This window comes from Homo sapiens, chromosome 14 (genome assembly GCF_000001405.40).
Source record: "Homo sapiens chromosome 14, GRCh38.p14 Primary Assembly".
Taxonomy (NCBI): domain Eukaryota; kingdom Metazoa; phylum Chordata; class Mammalia; order Primates; family Hominidae; genus Homo; species Homo sapiens.
The window spans coordinates 102,949,386-102,967,787 of NC_000014.9; the positions used below are offsets into that span (position 1 = coordinate 102,949,386).

The 18,402-nt window shown below is 49.1% G+C and overlaps 1 protein-coding gene across 8 annotated transcripts in view; it reads right to left on the bottom strand.

Annotated features, from left to right (window-relative positions):
- CDC42BPB (CDC42 binding protein kinase beta) overlaps positions 1–18,402 on the bottom strand; it is a 125,170-nt gene that overhangs the window by 17,006 nt on the left and 89,762 nt on the right. For 4 of the 8 annotated variants that reach the window (XM_005268227.2, XM_047431981.1, XM_011537387.2 and 1 more), the window contains exons 17-27: positions 17,661–17,785; positions 16,897–17,002; positions 15,117–15,265; positions 13,676–13,770; positions 10,246–10,325; positions 6,855–6,905; positions 5,217–5,303; positions 4,813–4,890; positions 3,113–3,218; positions 1,081–1,217; positions 380–519 (exon numbers count right to left, since the gene is read on the bottom strand). In XM_005268227.2, the coding sequence (XP_005268284.1) occupies positions 380–519; positions 1,081–1,217; positions 3,113–3,218; positions 4,813–4,890; positions 5,217–5,303; positions 6,855–6,905; positions 10,246–10,325; positions 13,676–13,770; positions 15,117–15,265; positions 16,897–17,002; positions 17,661–17,785 (1,154 nt within the window). The remainder of the gene's footprint in view (positions 1–379; positions 520–1,080; positions 1,218–3,112; positions 3,219–4,812; positions 4,891–5,216; positions 5,304–6,854; positions 6,906–10,245; positions 10,326–13,675; positions 13,771–15,116; positions 15,266–16,896; positions 17,003–17,660; positions 17,786–18,402) is intronic. The other 4 variants (NM_001411054.1, XM_047431982.1, NM_006035.4 and 1 more) reach the window with 3 other exon arrangements.

The following is an 18,402-nucleotide window of genomic DNA, read 5'->3' on the forward strand; positions in this document are numbered from 1 at the left end:
TGCTGCGGTCTCTAAAACGCACAGACGGCTGTGGGCCGCGTGGCTTTTCTCTGGGATATCTTCTGCTTGTTCTTGGGCATGTGGTTTTCTTATGTTAAATTAATTCCCCTGTGGCAAACTTCTCAACGCAAACACATGCGAGGCAGGAAGCGTCTACAGCGCTCCCGTTCCTGCGCACGCAGGCCCGTATGCATGTCTGTTCATACGCATGTGAGCGCCTGAAGTCATGACTAAGCTGTACCCATTTTTGCAACCATACAATAATGAAGCAGGTGAAGTACTAATGAGGTGAAAGACTACTAAGGAACACACCGTCCTTTTGGCTAAAGATAGCTGAGGAAGATTCACAGAGCAAGGACAGTGCTGCCCAAACGCAGACCTGAGATCCAAGACTTGGCTCGCAATGACACCAGGCTGGGTGGATTTTCCTTCAGGCAGATCATACAGGAAGAGCTTGCAGTCACAGACGACTGCATATGCGCGCTGCCATCCCTTCTTCACCCCCGTGGGCTTTGGGACCTATGAATAAAAACAAACAGTGGCCACGTTCCACCAGGCCAGGCAGGCCGCCAGGCCCCATTACACTCGTTCACAATCTCCTTCCAGCTGCCAGGCTGGCGGCAGAGCTGTTTGGACAGAGGGATGTTTGCCCAAGAAGGCTCAAGGCGTTGCTGGGGAGGGGTCCATGCGTGGCAGCAGACGGTGCCAGGGAAAGCTGGCAGCTCAGCCAACGCTGTGTCCACCCCATGCAGGGTGCTGTGGTACACGCAGCCCGACAGTCTCGTAGAGGTGGGCCTGGCACAGTGGCTTTCAGACTGAGCTTCTGCCCACTGGCTGGACACTCAGCCCAGGATGGACTCTGAGTGAGCGTCTGCGTGGAGGCCTCAGGATGCCCAGGCCATTCAGAACAGCGGCTGCGCCGACCTGATGGCCTCAGTGCCCAGGAGGGTAAGCCCCCTAGGACTGGCACCAGGGCCACCTGCCGCAGCAAGGGGCTGCTTTCAAGAGTGGCTGGGCATGGCTATTGGTCACTGCACCTCACAGGCACCGAGGGCTGAGGGCGGAGATGAAGCCGCCTACCTTGACATGGCCTTTGTAGGCTGTTCCGATGCCTCGCTGCACGTCCACGCCCAGAGGCCTCTTGGACTGCTCGGGAGGTATTGGGCACACCTGGGGGGCACCGTCTTTGCAGGACACGTGGCAAGCAAAGGAACACACTGGAAGAGAGCAAGAACACTGCCTTCAAAGCTTGCTGCCTACAGAGAAGTCACTGCAGAACCTATGCCCTGAGGAGGCAATTTAATAATCACCAGGTCTCGCCTGGAATCCCAGCACTTTCGGAGGCCGAGGTGGGCAGACCACTTGAGGTCAGCAGTTTGAGACCAGCCTGGCCAACATGGTGAAATCCCGCCTTTATTAAAAATACAAAAATTAGCCAGGGGTGGTGAAGCGCACCTGTAATCCCAGCTACTCGGGAGGCTGAGGCAGAAGAATCGCTTGAGCCCGGGAGGCGGAGGTTGCAGTGAGCTGAGACCACACTATTGCACTCCAGCCTGGGCCACAGAGCGAGACTCCATCTCAAAAAAACAAAATAAAACAAAACAAACAAAAAATAATGATCAAGTCTCACATCAAGTCCAGACACCCAAAAAGGTAAGAACAGTTGCAAGGCAGAATCCACACAAAAGCTCAGGGTTTCTGGCATGAATGCGTCTTCAGCATGCGCACAGGGAAAGGGCCCATGGCAGAAGCCTGCTTCCATGCTGTCCCTGCCAGCCCGGGCCGCCTCCCACACGTGGGAGTTTCTACACGGCAATTCAGGCCAGCGGTCATGGGGACGTGGGGTCTTGGCAGCCAATCAAAATGTGCATGAGTTGAAATAACAAAAAACAATGCTTCTGCTATAATGTAGAATGAAGGGCATCTCTGTTCACAGACCCATGGTCAGGAAGGCGTGAGTGCTCAGAGCCAGTGCGAGTCTGGGCTCCAGGACCCTCCCACAGCACTGGGTGGCTTGGGGTGGTTGCTCATCTGTGAAATGGGGCAATCACTGAGGGGGTAAGAGCATGTCGAATCCCAGCACAGGGCAAGAGCACAAGATATAGCCTTAAAAATATGATGGGCTGGGCGCAGTGGCTCACACCTGTAATCCCAGCACTTTGGGAGGCCGAGGCAGGTGGATCACTTGAGGTCAGGAGTTCGAGACCAGCCTGGGCAACATGGCGAAACCCCATCTCTACTAAGAACACAAAAATTAGCCAGGCATGGTGGCGTGGGCCTGTCCCCAGCTACTTGGGCGGATGAGGCAGGAGAATCACTTGAATCTGGGAGGCAGCGGTTGCAGTAAGCTGAAATTGAGCCACTGCACTCTAGCCTGGGCAACAGAGTCAAACTCTTGTCTCGAAAAAGAAATAGAAAAAAAGAAAAAAAATACGAATGACGACCAGAAGCAGAGACAAATAATTGTGGTTATCTTTAGATAATTTGACAGTGGAAGGTTTTACACAATTACTTTTCCTCTCTGATTTTCTAGAACAGCTGCAGATGATCTACTTCGTAGTAATTCTCAGTAGATGAGTTGAGTCACCACAGAGGCGCACAGCACAATGGAGCCCCCAGCACAGCAGGGATCCACGGTTCCACAGACCTTTACTGAGGATTTGTAAAAATAAACCTGCCAGGCTGGGTGCAGTGGCTCATGCCTGTAATTCCAGCACTTCGGGAGGCTAAGGCGGGAGATCACTTGAGTCCCAGAGTTTGAGACCGGTCTGGGAAACAAAGTGAGATCCCTCAACTCTCTACAAAAAAAATTTAAAAATAGCCAGGCATGCTGGTGGTGTGTGTGTCTGAGGTCTCAACTACTTGAGAGGCTGAGACAAGGGAATCGCTTGAGCTGAACTGTGATTGCACCACTGCACTGAAGTCTGAGTGACAGAGTGAGACCCTATCTCCCCACTCCCCCTAAAAAAAACCCTGTCCTCAAATCATGCCAATGACATTTCACTTTAGTTTGGTTTGCTTGCATCAGGGCTGCCCTGGAGCCGGCTGGTGCCCTTAGCTGCAGGGGTGTGGGGCTGTGCACGCTGACCCCAGGAGCTGCAACGACACTCACCCTCGCAGGCGTAGCCCTGCCGGATCAGCCCAACCATCAGGGAGGTGCAGTGGCTGCACTGAGTAGGGCTGGAGAAGGACTTGATGCTGAACTGGTGAGCTTTTGGCTGGAAGGAGAAAATCAAGAACACTGAGGTGAACCATGGACTCTTGAGAGTCAGATCCATCTGCCTGTGATCCAGTTTATACACAGCTTGGGCATTATCCTGAAAAGGTGGAAATGTGCAAGTTCTGGTCTTGGTCTACGTGTTCCCTAACAGGGCTCATCAAATAGTGGTGAAAACCACCTACGAGCCTGAGCCAGAGAGAGGCCAACAAATACTTCCTTCAGTGGGAGAGCACTGCTACCAAAAAGCGAGGTCAGCTGGGCCAGAGGGCCGAGGTGGCATGGCCAGTGCTCTTTCTGGCTCATGCTCCTGGCCTCCTGGAGACCAGCACCAACTGGCTCTTGGGGGCCGACCTGGGGCCACATTTAGGTTGGGCTGCACACAGGCCTTGCATGTGTCCAAGAGACACCCAAGAATCACCGACAGGAGGACAGTTCATAACAGCAAACGCCTGGAAAGGCTCACGGTCCCTCATCAGGAGTGGACACATTGTGAACCCAGCGGCAACTGCAGCAGCCCCAAGGCTGAACAGAGGGTCGTGGTGCAGGCCATGCGGGACCGCCTGTTTACCAAGCTCAGGCGCAGCAGAGACCAATACGATCCTCAGCAGGAAACAGATGTGGGTGAGACCACTTGCAAGAAGTAGGGGAGTGACCGACACAAACTCCAGAGAGCTGTGGGGGAAGAGGCTGGCTGAGGTGGGCAGGGAGGCCGTGGGGCGGTGGCCGGGCCATCAGGACTAGGAGTGACACACCAGCACTCTGCAGAGTTGCTATCAAATATGGTAACCAAATAAACGACCTCGCGACTTGGTCCCTGACTCTGCAAGAGTCTTAGTCCAAAAGCCAAACCCTTAGGTAGCCTCATAGAAGTTTGGCTTCTTACGTCCAGCCGGCATAGCTGCCTGTGGCAGGAAGCACAGGCAGAGGCCGTGTCTACATTAACAACAACAAAAACCACCTTAGGCCACAGGGCTACGTACTCGCAATGCTTGGAACTCAGGGGCCCGTCACCCTGGAGACTTTCTGATCTGCGTTGATGTTTATATGAAAGAAAAGGGGATGTTACAGAAGAAGCCGAGGCCAGGACAGGGGAGCAGGGGCCCAGTGGGGCCGCTGTGCTGGCTCTCCAGGATGCACTTGTGGAAAGGATGAGGCTCAGAACCGCACATGCACTGCAGGGCCGTTTATGCTGGGAGTCATTCTCACCCACCAGCCACATGGTTCTGTAAGGTTCTCTAAGTGCAGGCAGACAAATGAAAATCAATGTGGAGAAGTAAGCTGCCTACCTGTGGAGAGGGGAATATGGCTTGGGGAATGAGAGAAGGAGAGTGGGGAGACTGAATGCTGAACTTTTCCAATTAAAATATATTTGTGTAGCACTGGTATCATTAAGAAAACACAGGGTCCTGACAGCTTCCTGAATTACACACCATTCTCAACAACTTTCCTACAGAACATGAGGGTCGCTACTGTGTGTATGCAAAAATGACTAAGTATGTTTTATTTATACAAAACTTATTTTCTAAATAACTGAGAATAAATAAACAACTAAATAACTAAGAAGGCGCCCCGGGTGAAAGCAAGGCCCCTACCTTCGGTCCAGCCAGAGCCAGGGCCTGCGTGGTGGGCAACGGCACAGCGGATGGCCTCTGCGGGGGCCGAGCCATGTCCTGGGAGACAAGCAGGACAGGTGAGTGTCGGCCCAGCTCAGCATGGCTGAGACACCTGGCCCTACGGGGTGCACTTCTCTCAAGAATGTGTTAACAGTGAACAGTTCTGCATTTTTAATTTGCTACAATGTTGAGACATCTGCGGAAGCCTCCCTCATCTAGGGGAGGGACTGACAGTTAATTCTCAAAATGAAAGGTGGGCTTGAGCACCTGGGCAGAGGCCCTCGCTGCAAACTGTTATGCAGGGGCCAGGTGAGCAGCATCTGGTCACCTGGACACGAGGGCAGACCCCAGGTGGGAGCATCACCAGGGCAACGCTGTCTCACCTCCTGCTGCTCTGATGCAGCCACAGACATCGACGGGGACGCTTCTGGCTTCGGAGCTTGTGTTTCTTGCTCACTAGCTGAGCTGGTCTGTGAGAACCAAGAAAGAAAGAGTGGGGTGAAAGGACATATTCTACATGATCCAGACTCTACTTACAAGTTCTTTACTAATAAAAGCAGATTCTGTCTAGCCCAGAAGTCCCAGCGGTTCTTACTCCTGGATCCTATCACCCCTTGGGTCTCCTCACAGACCCCTGCTCCACTCCCAGCTGGCCGGCCTGCCCTGAGGACCCCTGCACTTGGCTTCCTCAGCTGAGTGGTGATTGCGTGGGCAGGTGGAGTCTGACAAGTCACAGTCACCCCGCTGAGGTGAGAATTTGCCTGGAGACACCTCTAATGCACAGCCCTGAGCATACCCGCCCCCTCCTGCAGCCTCCTTGCCCCGGTCACTGAAAGGGCAAGACCTGGAAATGCTGATCCTTCCTGACCTTTATTCATAAGTAATGTTATCTAAGCCTAGCAGCCTTAAGATCAATTAGCCAGGCCAGGCACGGTGGCTCACGCCTGTAATCCCAGCAATTTGGGAGGCTGAGGGGGGCAGACCACCTGAAGTCAGGATTTTGAGACCAGCCTGGCCAACATGGCGAAACCCCGTCTCTACTAAAAATACAAAAATTAGCCGGGTGTGCTAGCACACACCCATAATCCCAGCTACTCTGGAGGCTGAGGCACGACAATCGCTTGAACCCAGGAGAAGGTTGCAGTGAGCCGAGATCAAGTCATTGCACTCCAGCCTGGGCAACAAATCAAGACTGTCTCAAAAGAAAAAGAGAAAGAAGAAAAGATCAAATAGCCAAATGCTTCTTAACCTCATTTCAAGGATCAAGAAGAAATTCGAACATCAACAGAGGTCGGTGGGCCCATGAGTAGATTTAAGAATTTCCTTGAAAATTTTATGACACAGGGAAGCAATGTTTTGTTTTAACAAATTAAGAGTTCTAATTTCACAGTGATTTATTTGAAGCTAAAGCTACACTCTGAAACCACTTAAAAACAACTCTATTTCAACAAGTATTCCTGAAACTAATAGTTTATCATCACAGGCCACTGCTGTTTACAGACGCACATGTAGGTATGCTGAGTAGCAAGTGTTAGCACCAGCAAGCAGTGTGATGGGACACAGACATGGCTGGGTAGGCGCCTAAAGCATTGACAGCTGTATTTTGTGTTCCACATCAGAATCCCAATGAACCAAATCAGATAAACACTTTCCAACAGTTGCAATTAATTAGGCCACTGAGGAAGGAGCCAAATTCAGATGGGATGGCAGCATACACACATAAAACACACACACAACTGTGTACTGCAAATTCACAAGGGAAAGGCTAGCTCGACTGGCTAATTACCAAAGCTCAAAAATGTAAGCAAATCTGCCCCATAAACAAGGTATGTTAAGTGTTACGGTTCCATCTTTAGATAAATGAGAAAAAGAATATTAATTTTAGGCATGTAAAAGCCCCACTCGTTTCATTTAGTTGGTTAATTAATCAAAGGGATGCAGATTCAGGAACAGGAACATTGAGGAGGCTGTGCACTAACAGGAGTGAAAGCTGCGGGAAGCCAGCGCTGGCAGCCACTTACTTCTTCCCAAAAGGCTAGCAGGGAAGATGCAGACGAGGAGGAGAGAGAGTCCTTGGAGGTAACAGACAGGAGGAACAAACATCATTTCCCACCCAGTCAACACTGGCATGAAGATATATTGACTTAATCTTGGTGACAAACTGTTTCTAGTAAAAACCAACATGTTTCATGCAGGCAGCGTGGGATAAGAAGTTTCTCAAAGACAATTTTCAAAAGAGTCTGGAAGCTCTAACAGACCCAGCCCCTGATGGAGGGTTTTTTCTGTTCAACAATAAATGCCTTCCCATTTAAATCACAGAGGGATTAGCGGCCAGGCACGGTGGCTCATGCCTATAATCCCAGCACTTTGGGAGGCCAAGGCGGGCAGATCACCTGAGGTTAGGAGTTTGAGACCGGTCTGGGCAATATAGCAAGAATCCATCTCTACAAAAATTTAAAAATTAGCTGGGTGCGGTGGCGAGCACCTGTAGTGCCAGCTACTCAGGAGGCTGAGGCAGGAGAATCGCTTGAGCCCAGGAGTTTGAGGTTGCAGTGAGCTATGATGGTGGCACGGCACTCCAGCCTGGGCAGCAGAAGGAAGCCCTGACTCTAAAAAATGGTTAAGATGGTAAGTTTTATGTTATGTGTGCTTATATCACAATTTATAAATCAATTATGGGCCAGGCATGGTGGCTCACACCTGTAATCCCAGCACTTTGGGAGGCTGAGGTGGGTGGATCACCTGAGGTCAGAAGTTCAAGACCATCCTGGGCGACATGGTGAAACCCCATCTCTACTAAAAATACAAAAAAAAAAAAAAAAAAAAAAAAAAATTAGCCGGGCATAGTGGCGCGTGCCTGTAGTCCCAGCTACTTGGGATGCTGAGGCACAAGAATTGCTTGAACCTGGGAGGTGGAGGTTGTGGTGAGCCGAAACTGCACCACTGCACTCCAGCCTGGGTGACAGAGTAAGACTGTCTCAAAAAAAAAAAAAAAAAAAAAAAAAGGGAGGGATGAGGGATTAGCAAGGGCAGGCGTGCTGGCTGTAGAGAATGAGGCATGAAGATGCCGCCTCTGTCTCCATCTCTGCTGCCCACTCTCCACAGCTGTGACTCACACACTCATGGACAGTACTGGCTGTAAACTCACTTGCTACCGGGCCCTCTACTCTGTTAATGTTACAGAAAGCTACCGCTTTCCTGGCCGCCTCCATTCAGTGATCAAGCACCATCTCTGGTTCTCTGGAATCCACTTATTCCTCCCCACAGCAGTGCCCGGCTCCGCAGCAACGAGAGAGGCAATGACTTGTGCAGAAACAGGCTTATCAAAGATCTGGCGGGCACTTACCGGTTAAATAGATTTGCTTCTTCAAAACTGTGGATTTCAGGGAAAAGACAAGCATTGCCAGTTTGATAAAACAAACAAACATTTTGACAGGTGAAGGTGAACAGGTGTGCGTCCAGAGTGGCTGTGAGCAATGCAAGCCTGCTTGGGTGTTGTAATGACAGACACAGGCCAGGATGCTAAGAGTCCACCCCAAGGGAGGCTGCTACGGGCAGATGCCCACATGGGCACCTGCTGACTGCCCCCTACTCACACAGGCAGCAACCCTAGCCAACCCCACCTCAACCCAACGATCAGACTTGGCATCACCCACCCTGGGCAGGCCGGCCTCTGTGCGTGGAAAGGGCACAGCTCCTCCTGAGGAGAGTTTGTGCCAAAGGTTCAACCCACAACTGATGAAGATGAAACATCAGACAAACCCAGAGTGGACATTCTGCAGGACAACTGGCCTGGGTAACACCAAAATATCATTGTCATAAAAGGGAACAGATGGGGAACTGTTCCAGATTAAAGGAAACAAAAGACTAAATGCGATTCATGACCTCCAGATGGATCCAGAACTAGGAGGAAAAGCCAGCAGGAAAGGGCATTCCTGGGACGACAAGGGACACATGGATATGGGCTGTCCCACGGCATCAGCACAGAATGCCTGATGACAGTGACACTGTGGTTATGTGAGAGAATGCCCCAATCGTAGGAAATAACTGCTGAAGTATGTTGGGGTCGCTGATACCTTCAAGTCGCTTTCAAATACTTCAGAGGAAGAAAGTCTCTTATGTTGAGAGAGAGAAAGCAGATGTAGCAAAACCCCAGGTGAGGGACATGTACACATGCACCCTATTCTTCCCACTCGCCTGCAGGGCTGGAGTTTTCTAAATCAAAGGCTGGAACCACCTTCCCCACCCTGCACCCCATCAGGAGTTCCATTAGTGAGCTCCACTCTCCCTGCTCCAATATGCTTTGCGTGCTGCTATCAAGGGTGCATCCCTACAGGTTTCAAAGAGGAGGAAAGGCTGTCCTGCCTCCACGGAATGCCACCAAGAACCTGCGGCCCATGGAGGGAGGCAGTGGGGTCTGCTCCTCACTCGACAGCTAATTCCCAAGTAGATGACCAGCGGCTCCGACTGCCTGAGGGGGTTGGCCTCCTTGTGAGGGTCTCGGCAAGGCACCTGGTGCCAGACTGTTCCCATCAACCACCTTTCCCATCGATCCCCAATGCCGAACTCTACAGCTACACAGATGGAAACACAACTAAAGTATTTTTATTCGCTCTAGTGTGGGATTTTTTTTTTTAAGAGATAGGGTCTCGCTATATTGCCCAGGCTCGTCTTGAACTCCTGGGCTCAAGTGATCCTCCCACTTCAGCCTCCCAAAGTGCTGGGATTACAGGCGTGAGCCACTGCACCCATCCCAGTGTGAGAATTTGTATTATTTTCTTGAAATAATCGCTACAGGCTGGGCGTGGTGGCTCACGCCTGTAATCCCAGCACTCTGGGAGGCCAAGGTGGGTGGATCACCTGAGGTCAGGAGTTCGAGACCAGCCTCGCCAATATGGTGAAACCCTGTCTCTACTAAAAATACAAAAATTAGCCGGGCGTGGTGGTGGGTGCCTGTAGTCCCAGCTACTTGGGAGGCTGAGGCAGGAGAATCACTTGAACCCGGGAGGCAGAAGTTGCAGTGAGCCAAGATCATGCCACTGCACTCCAGCCTGGGTGACAGAGCAAGACTCCGTCTCAAAAAAAAAAAAAAAAATACTCACTACACAGCTGAGGCCAGTGCAGATTTCTCCCTGAAGAGGCTGAGCACTTTCTTAATCTCATCTCTACTTAATCTGAGTTGAGAAAGCTTCTCTGGGAGCACCTCAAATACCCTAAATGTCTGTCACCTGATGCGTTTAATGTGGGTTGATTACATGTGGGTCAATTACACAGTTAGCACAACGCTGAGATAAACACTGAATGTATATTTACTGGTGTGTTTGTGGCCCCATGAGTGGTAAAATCATATATGACACTATTTCTAACTTATCATAAACTCATCTGTCACTTAAAAAAAAAACAATGACTTACTCTAAATGTCAGGTCATGTGCAAGAGGAGCAGTGTTGAAATACTCAAAAATGGAATCCTGAAAATCTGGAAGTTTGAGCCCTGCAAAAAGAAACAAAGAATAGTCAAGGCAAAAAAACTAAAGTCTACATATTATTTTCAGACAGACTCAGTGTCTTCAAGATGTCAATTCTCCTTGAGTAACTGATACATCTGACATGATCACAATTAAAAAAAAAAAAAAAAAAAAAAGGGGTCAGGCTTTTCCCCAGAGAGTAACAAGAATCAAAAAGTTCACTTGAAAAAGTAACCAAGGGACTGGGTGCGGTGGCTCACGCCTGTAATCCCAACACTTTGGGAGGCCGAGGTGGGCGGATCACCTGAGGTCAGGAGTTAAAGACCAGCCTGGCCAACATGGTGAAATCCCATCTCTGCTAAAAATACAAAAATTAGCTGTGCATGGTGGTATGTGCCTGAAATCCCAGCTACTCGGGAGGCTGAGGCAGGAGAATCTCGAGCCCAGGAGGCAGAGGTTGTGGTAAGCCAAGATCATGCCACTGTACTCCAGCCTGGGCGACAGAGCAAGACTCTATCTCAAAAAAAAACAAAAACAAAAAACAAAACCCCTCAAAACCACAGGGGCAGCTGGGCTGGGCGTAGGTGGAGGAGGAGCAGATCTACCAGATATTAAAGCAGATTCACTAAGGCCTCTACAATAAGAATCATGGCCAGGCACAGTGGTTCACACCTGTCATCCCAGCACTTTGGGAGGCCAAGGTCGGAGGACTGCTTGAGGCCATGAGTTTGAGACCAGCCTGGGCAACACAGAGAGACCCCATCTCCATAAAAATTAAATAAATAAAATTAGCTGTGCATGGTGGCATGTGCCTGTGGTCCTAGCTACTTGGGAGACAGAGACAGGAGGATCACTTGAGCTGGGGAGATTGAGGCTGCACGTGCCACTGCATTCCTGCCTGGGTGACAGAGTGAGACCCTGTCACACACACAAAAAAACACATATCAAAAAACAAGAATCAAGTGGTTCTTCCCCATGAACAATGGAACAGGGGAGAAGATCCAGAAACAGACCCAAGCCCATGGTGATCCTGTACATGACAACAGTCATACATAAAACCAGCAGGAAAAATAGCTTAATAACTGGTATTGGACAACCAGCTAGCCATTAGCAAAAGATAAAACTGGATACACTCCTCGAACCGTATGTCAGAGCAAATTTCAAATGGATCAGTATTCTAATTTAAAAAATGAGGCTGGGCACGGTGGCTCACGCCTGTAATCCTAGCACTTTGGGAGACACGGCAGTCAGATTGCTTGAGTCCAGGAGTTCAAGACCAGCCTGGGAAATACGGCACAACCCCATCTCTAAAAATAAATAAATAAATAAATAAATAGCCAGGTGTGGTGGCACGTGCCTGTAGTCCCAGCTACTCAGGGGGCTGAGGTGGGAGGATCACTTGAGCCCAGAAAGTTGAGGCTGCAGTGAACCCTGATCGTGCTACTGCACTCCAGCCTGGGCAACAGAGCAAGACCCTGAATCAATCAATCAATCAATCAATCAATCAATCAATCAATCATGAAGCCACACAAGTATGAGAAGCATGAGGGAATCCCTCCAACAACTGGGAGTTAGGTGTATTTTCCTATTTATGACTCAAAAAAGGAAGAAGACTGAAAACTTGACACACAAAAAATTTTGAAAACCACCTTTTTTTTTTTTTCTTGACAGACGGAATCTGGCTCTGTCACCCAGGCTGGAGTGCAGTGGCGAGATCTCAGCTCACTGCAACCTCTGCCTCCCAGGTTCAAGCGATTCTCCTGCCTCAGCCTCCTGAGTAGCTGGGACTATAGGCATGCCCCACCACGCCCAGCTAATTTTTGTATTTTTAGTAGAGATGGCAAAACCCCCCCCACTTTTTTTTAAGACAGCGTTTTGCTCTTGTTGCCCAAGCTGGAGTGCAATGGTGCAATCTCGGCTCACCGCAACCTCTGCCTCCCGGGTTGAGGTTCAAGTTCAAACAATACTCCTGCCTCAGCCTCCTGAGTAGCTGGGATTACAGGCATGCACCACCACGCCCAGCTAATTTTGTATTTTTACAAGAGATGGGGTTTCTCCATGTTGGTCAGGCTGGTCTCGAACTCCAGACCTCAGGTGATCCGCCCACCTCAGCCTCCCGAAGTGTTGGGATTACAGGCGTGAGCCACCGCACCGGCTGCAAAACCACTTTTATTTGGCAAAAAAATAAATAAATGATAAGCAAAGACAAACTAGGAAAAATACTTGCAACTTACATCACAAACAAAAGGCACTAATCCCCAAAATGCAAAAGGCTTTTAGAAATCCGCAAGACTAACAACCTGAATTTTTAAAAGCGGGCAAACAATAAAAACATATAATGCACAAAATACAAAAGTCCCTCAAACATATAAAAAGATGCTCAATCTTACTTATGAGAAATATGCAAGTTAAACCTCTACGGAGATGCTATTTCTCACCTATTCAGAGCGGCAAAAATCCAAAAGTCTGAAATCCTACTTTGTGGGTAGGCTGTGGGGCAGAAACCCCTCATGCAAAGTGGGAGGAACGTCACTGCACAGCCTCTGGAGGCCTGTCCGTCAGCATGCAGCAAGAGTGTACAGGCATGTTTGCCCTTTGCCCTGGCAATCCCACTTCTAGAACTCTATCCCGAAATACACCGACAAAAACAGGAAATGTTCTATCCATACAGCCACTCCTGGCAGCACTTTCTGTGACAGCAAATGCCAGGGAATAAACCATCCCAGTGGCTGGCCAGCCCACGGCAGCGCACAGTGCAGCTGCAGAGGAGGCCGGGGTGGCCCCTCCAGCACAAAATGATGCCTTTTGTGTTATCAGGGGATACAAATGTGTGCCTAGATTTGTGTGGATTTGCCATATGCTTTCAAGATGAAAGGAAGGATAGGCTGGGCACGGTGGCTCACACCTGTAATTCCAGCACTTTGGGAGGCTGAGGTGGGTGGATTGCCTGAGGTCAGGAGTTGCAGACCAGCCTGGCCAACGTGGCAAAACCCCATCTCTACTAAAAATACAAAAATTAGCCAGGGGTGGTGGTGGTGTGCACCTGCAATCCCAGCTACTTGCGAGGCTGAGGCGGGAGAATCCTTGAACCCAGGATGCAGAGGTTGCAGTGAGCCGAGATTGTGCCATTGCACTCCAGCCTGGGTGACACAGCGAGACTGTCTCAAAAAAAAAGGAAGGATAAACCAAAAACAATGGCTACCTTTGGGGAAAATATATTTGAAGATGTTGTTTGAAAATGCTGATTTTGGAAAATACTGAATTTGGAATTCTGTAGGTGCTTCTAAAGTAACTATTAAGTCGAAAAGAAAATAAAAACATTCATTTGAAAAATACTTATATTCAAATAATGCAGAATCGCACAACATTAATTTACCAGTATCTGCTCTGAATTTTTCTTCCATCTTTTTCTTCAAAATTTCCATTTCTTCTAATAATTCTCTGTTTTTGGCTTCGGAATCCTTTAGTTTGCTAAAATAAAAAATAAATGGCTTTAAGTGCACTGAGAAGAGGTTGTCTGTGAGCTGGTATGGGGCAGGTCAGGATGAGAGAGCCGGGATTTCTCCCCAGCACTCAGGACTGTCCAGAACACGGTAGCTCATGCTGGGCCTTTCTACTGCAAACACCATGAACAGTACGAATATTTCAAATATAAACATTCAAACAGGAATTTAAAAAGTCATGGCTTAGGAAGGCGTGTCTCATGAAGGCCTAATGGAGCTCTTGACCTTCCTAATCTTGTTCCCAGGCGAGTCCTCTGTTCTTCAGGGACACAGGGCCCAGGCCGCTCAGCCGTCAGCCCCATCAATATCTTTCCCATAACTGGCAAGATGGTGGCTGCACCAAGAAGCACCAGCACCACCCGCACGGGTAGCCTTGCAATTCCAGCAACTTCGTGCAGGGGACAGAGGAAGTCAGGCTGCCACGGGGAACACCTGGCCGGGAGGGATGCAGTTTGTGGGGGCTGGTCCACTCATCAGTGGGGTGACAGTGGGCAAATCACCTGCGGAGTGTGTGTAAGTGGGAGTAACAAGACTGCCTACCCTGTTGGGCTGTGGGAGGGTCACAGGATTTAACAACAGAACAGTCTTACAGCAATTCCCAGTATAAAGAAAGTCAATTTAACTGAAACCTATTACCATTAATTTTTTAGCCCCAAACTAACAGGATTTGGGACTTGGTAATTCTGTTAGAGACACTGTCCCTTCCAGGTCCTCGCCTGCCTCATGGCACAGCAGAGCTGGCCTGGTTTTTATGAAACTGACGTTCATTATCGTATCCTCGTAAAACCAGATCTGCAAAGAGGAGACTCTCAGCAAATACTGACTGAATCACTGCTGTGTGAAAATGGCGTTCTCGTTACTGCTTGGAGTTAGGGAAAAATTTCAAGTGAGAATGCCATCTTCAACCTCTGTTTTAAAATATTCACGTTAGCTTGAAAGGAACAATCTTGAATTAGTGAATGGAGCGGCACGGAGGTGACTAAGCAGTGAGAGGGGCTCCTGTCAGACAGCGGTGTGAGTCTCGCTACCCAGCGTGGGGGCACAAGCACCCGCTGCCGTCAAAACACGGCTCGCACCGCACCACACCCCCCCGCGGCAGGCAAGGCCCTGCACCCTCGCGGCCACCTCAGTGCCAGAACGGCCTGCTATTCGGGGCTCCTGCAGGTGAACCCGACGTGCTGCCTCCTAAGGCTCCAGCAAACGCCGTGGCCCCGATTTTCCAGGCGAGGAGCATCGGAGCCCGTGAGGCTCAGGGCGGGCTCGAGGCCACACAGCCACTGCTCCTACCTGGAGTCAGACCCTGGCACCAAGTACCTTTCCAAGGTGAGGTTGGCGTCCTTGACCTTCCTGAGCTCCTCCTGGACAAGCTGCTTGGCCCGGATCTCCGCCTCCAGGGCCGACTGCAGCTCCAGCCGCGCGGACATGTCCAGCTTCTGGCTGCGGCGCACCTTCCACAGCGGGTCCTTGAGACACGGTCATGGCGTTAAAAATGCATTTTCAGTTATCCGCTTGTTAAACTAATGTTAACAAATAAGTTATCTTTGTCTAACCTTAAGCCATTACGGTCTCATTTAGATATTAACTCTAAATTATGGAGGTGCCTCAGGAGTTTTAGTTTTGATATTTTATGACTTTTTTTACTCTTCCTCAGAAATCTTCTAAAAAATAACTAAATAATTTACTTTATCTTTTAGAAGAATAAAAGTGATTCTGTAGTGCAATTTCTTTTCTTTTCTTTTCTTTTTTTTTTTGTTTGAGATGTAGTTTCGCTCTTGTTGCCTAGGCTGGAGTGCAATGGCGTGATCTCAGCTTACCGCGACCTCCGCCTCTTGGGTTCAAGCGATTTTCCTGTCTCAGCCTCTCCAGTAGCCAGTAGCTGGGATTACAGGTGCCGCACCACCATGCCTGGCTAATTTTTGTATTTTTAGTAGAGACAGGGTTTCACCACGTTGGCCAGGCTAGTCTCCAACTCCTGCTCTCGTGATCCACCCCCCTTGGCCTCCCAAAGTGCTGGGATTACAGGCATGAGCCGCTGCGCCTGGCCTCTGTAATGCAATTTCTATATGGGTCCACTGGACCCTGGACCCTTTTACAAACCTAAGGTACATTATAGGGTTCGGTTATCTTTTTCTCATAACTTGAAACGTTTTGCTATTTCACCATCCTGGGAATTATGTCATTACTCATTCCTACCTGTGATTAAAAAAAAAAAAAAAAAAAAAAGACTAAAATAATAAGGGAAGAATGACAGAGTGACCTAGGATGAAGCAACAGTGGAATAAGCCAGTTCACTAACATCATCCTCCTGTTTTCTTACTGAGTTGCCCAATGTATGACATCAACTTTCGAGAGGTATCAAAGAAGTCCAGAGATGCCATCTTGCTGTTTTTTCTTTTTTAAAACAAACTGAAAACCTTTCATTGAACACAATTGAGAATGCTTCATTTTCCATCTATAACAGTAAAGAGAAGAAAATGGACAGAGGAAGGCCAGGTGTGGGGGCTCATGCCTGTAATCCCAGCACTTTGGGAGGCCGAAGCGGGCAGATCACCTGAGGTCAGGGGTTTGAGACCAGCCTGGCCAACATGGTGGAAACCCGTCTCTACTAAAATACAAAAATGAGCCAGGTGTAGCGGCACACGCCTGTAATCCCAGCTACTCGGGGGGGCTGAGGCAGGAGAATCACTTGAAGCCGGGAGGCGGAGGTTGCAGTAAGCCGAGATCACGCCACTGCACTCTAGCCTGGGCAACAGAGTGAGACTGTCGCGGGAGGAAAAAAATAAAATACACACATCACTAAATGAACCAATGAAATTAATAAAAGCAAGCTCTCTGAGGGCAGAATCCAGTCTTAACTTGACACCACGGAGCTCAGTGCTCAGTAATTATTTGCTAAACGAATGAATGCTGTCGAGAGAAGCCATGATGATCTGAGAGCTGGCAAATGTTGGCGTTCCTTAAATTGGGGAACTGGTTACACAGAAGTCTCTTGCATCACTGTAATTCCCTAAATAGTACTTATATGTCACATTTATACTTAAAACCATTAGCGAATTATTCAGTAATAGAAATGCAGGCATTACACAAAACCTACCAGTGTTCTTGACCCCAGACTAGAACTCCTCAAAGCCTCGAGCTCTTCGGTCATCTTGGAAGCAAGAGCTTGAAGGTAACCCCGGGCATCTTTCTCGTCACTGACCCTGGAGGAGGGAACAGATGTTCTATCTCACGAAGCATGGCTATCAGGGAGAAGCCAAACAAGAAGGGGACGTTCCCGCCTTCCTCGGCACACAGTGACACAGTGTCACGTCAGCTAGAGTGCCCGCAGTGTACCCGTTGTATACACGGGATCTCATTGATGGATGCGTCGTTACATTGCACATGACTGCAGTTTAAAAAGACACCAAACTTCCAAGACTCAAGAATGAAAAAATTCTATTACTCCATAAATATATATACCTACTACGCACCCACAAAAATTAAAAATAAAAACTCTTTTTTTAATTACAACTTCACACCTTAGGAGCGGAGGGCCAGGTCCCAGCTCGCTCCAAGTCTCCCTGCTGCTTCTGCAGCCGCTTTGGGAGGGCTCTGCCTCCCCTGTCTCTGAGAACGCAAGGGGTGTGAACGGTTTGCCCCAAGTCCTTCAGTGGGTTGGTGGGGGCGTATCTCCACCTCTATTCCAACAGAACCACTGCCCCAGACATGAGAAGTTCTGGGGAACAGCAGTGAGACCTGCACCCCAGCCTGAGAGGCACGGCCTGGCGTGGAGCACAGGATCAGGCAGAAGAGGCGGGGCAGACCCCATGGACTGAGCAGGGAGCGGATTCACGGCCGCTAATGGGGCCGCGCACGTACCACTGAATGATTTCCGCAATCTGAGCTTCCCAGTGGGCCACTGACTCCTTCTTGGCTGCCAGATCCTGCAGCTCATCCTCCAGCTGTCTATTTTGAGCTGTGAGTTTATCCACAAAGGAACAGAGCTGAAATGAAACAATTTCACCACAGAACTTGTTAATCGGGCATCCTTTAAGTATGCTGGATTTAACACTGGAAGTTCTTTTGAAGACTCTGAAAGTTTTCTTTAATCGTCATGAGATTTTTCCAAACTAAGTTCATGATATGGATTTTTTTCACTGTATCTAGCTTAAGTCACATTTCAATTCAAATCTAAACCTAAACTGATGGAGCTGGAGCTAGTGACTTCAGGCAATTGGCATCTTTTCGCTGAATACAAACATCCTATTTAAAAGACCAAACACATGACTCCATTCAAAAATTAAAACAGTCACGTGTAGTGAAACAGCAAGAACACGGTCTGAGAAACGTGTCCTTGCACACACAGCGTGAATGCACTCACGCAAGCCTAGACGGTGCGGCTGCCGCACACCAGGCCCTGTGGTACAGCCTGTCAATTCCAGGCCCCAAGCCTGCATACCATGTTGCTGTGCGGGACGCTGCCGGCGGCTGTAGCACAATGCTAAGTATCTGTGTATCTCAACACAGAAGAGGTAGAGTAAAGTACAGTATTATGATCGTACGGGACGCCTGTTGTACACACAGTCTATCATTGATGGAAGCATCGTTATATGGCACATTA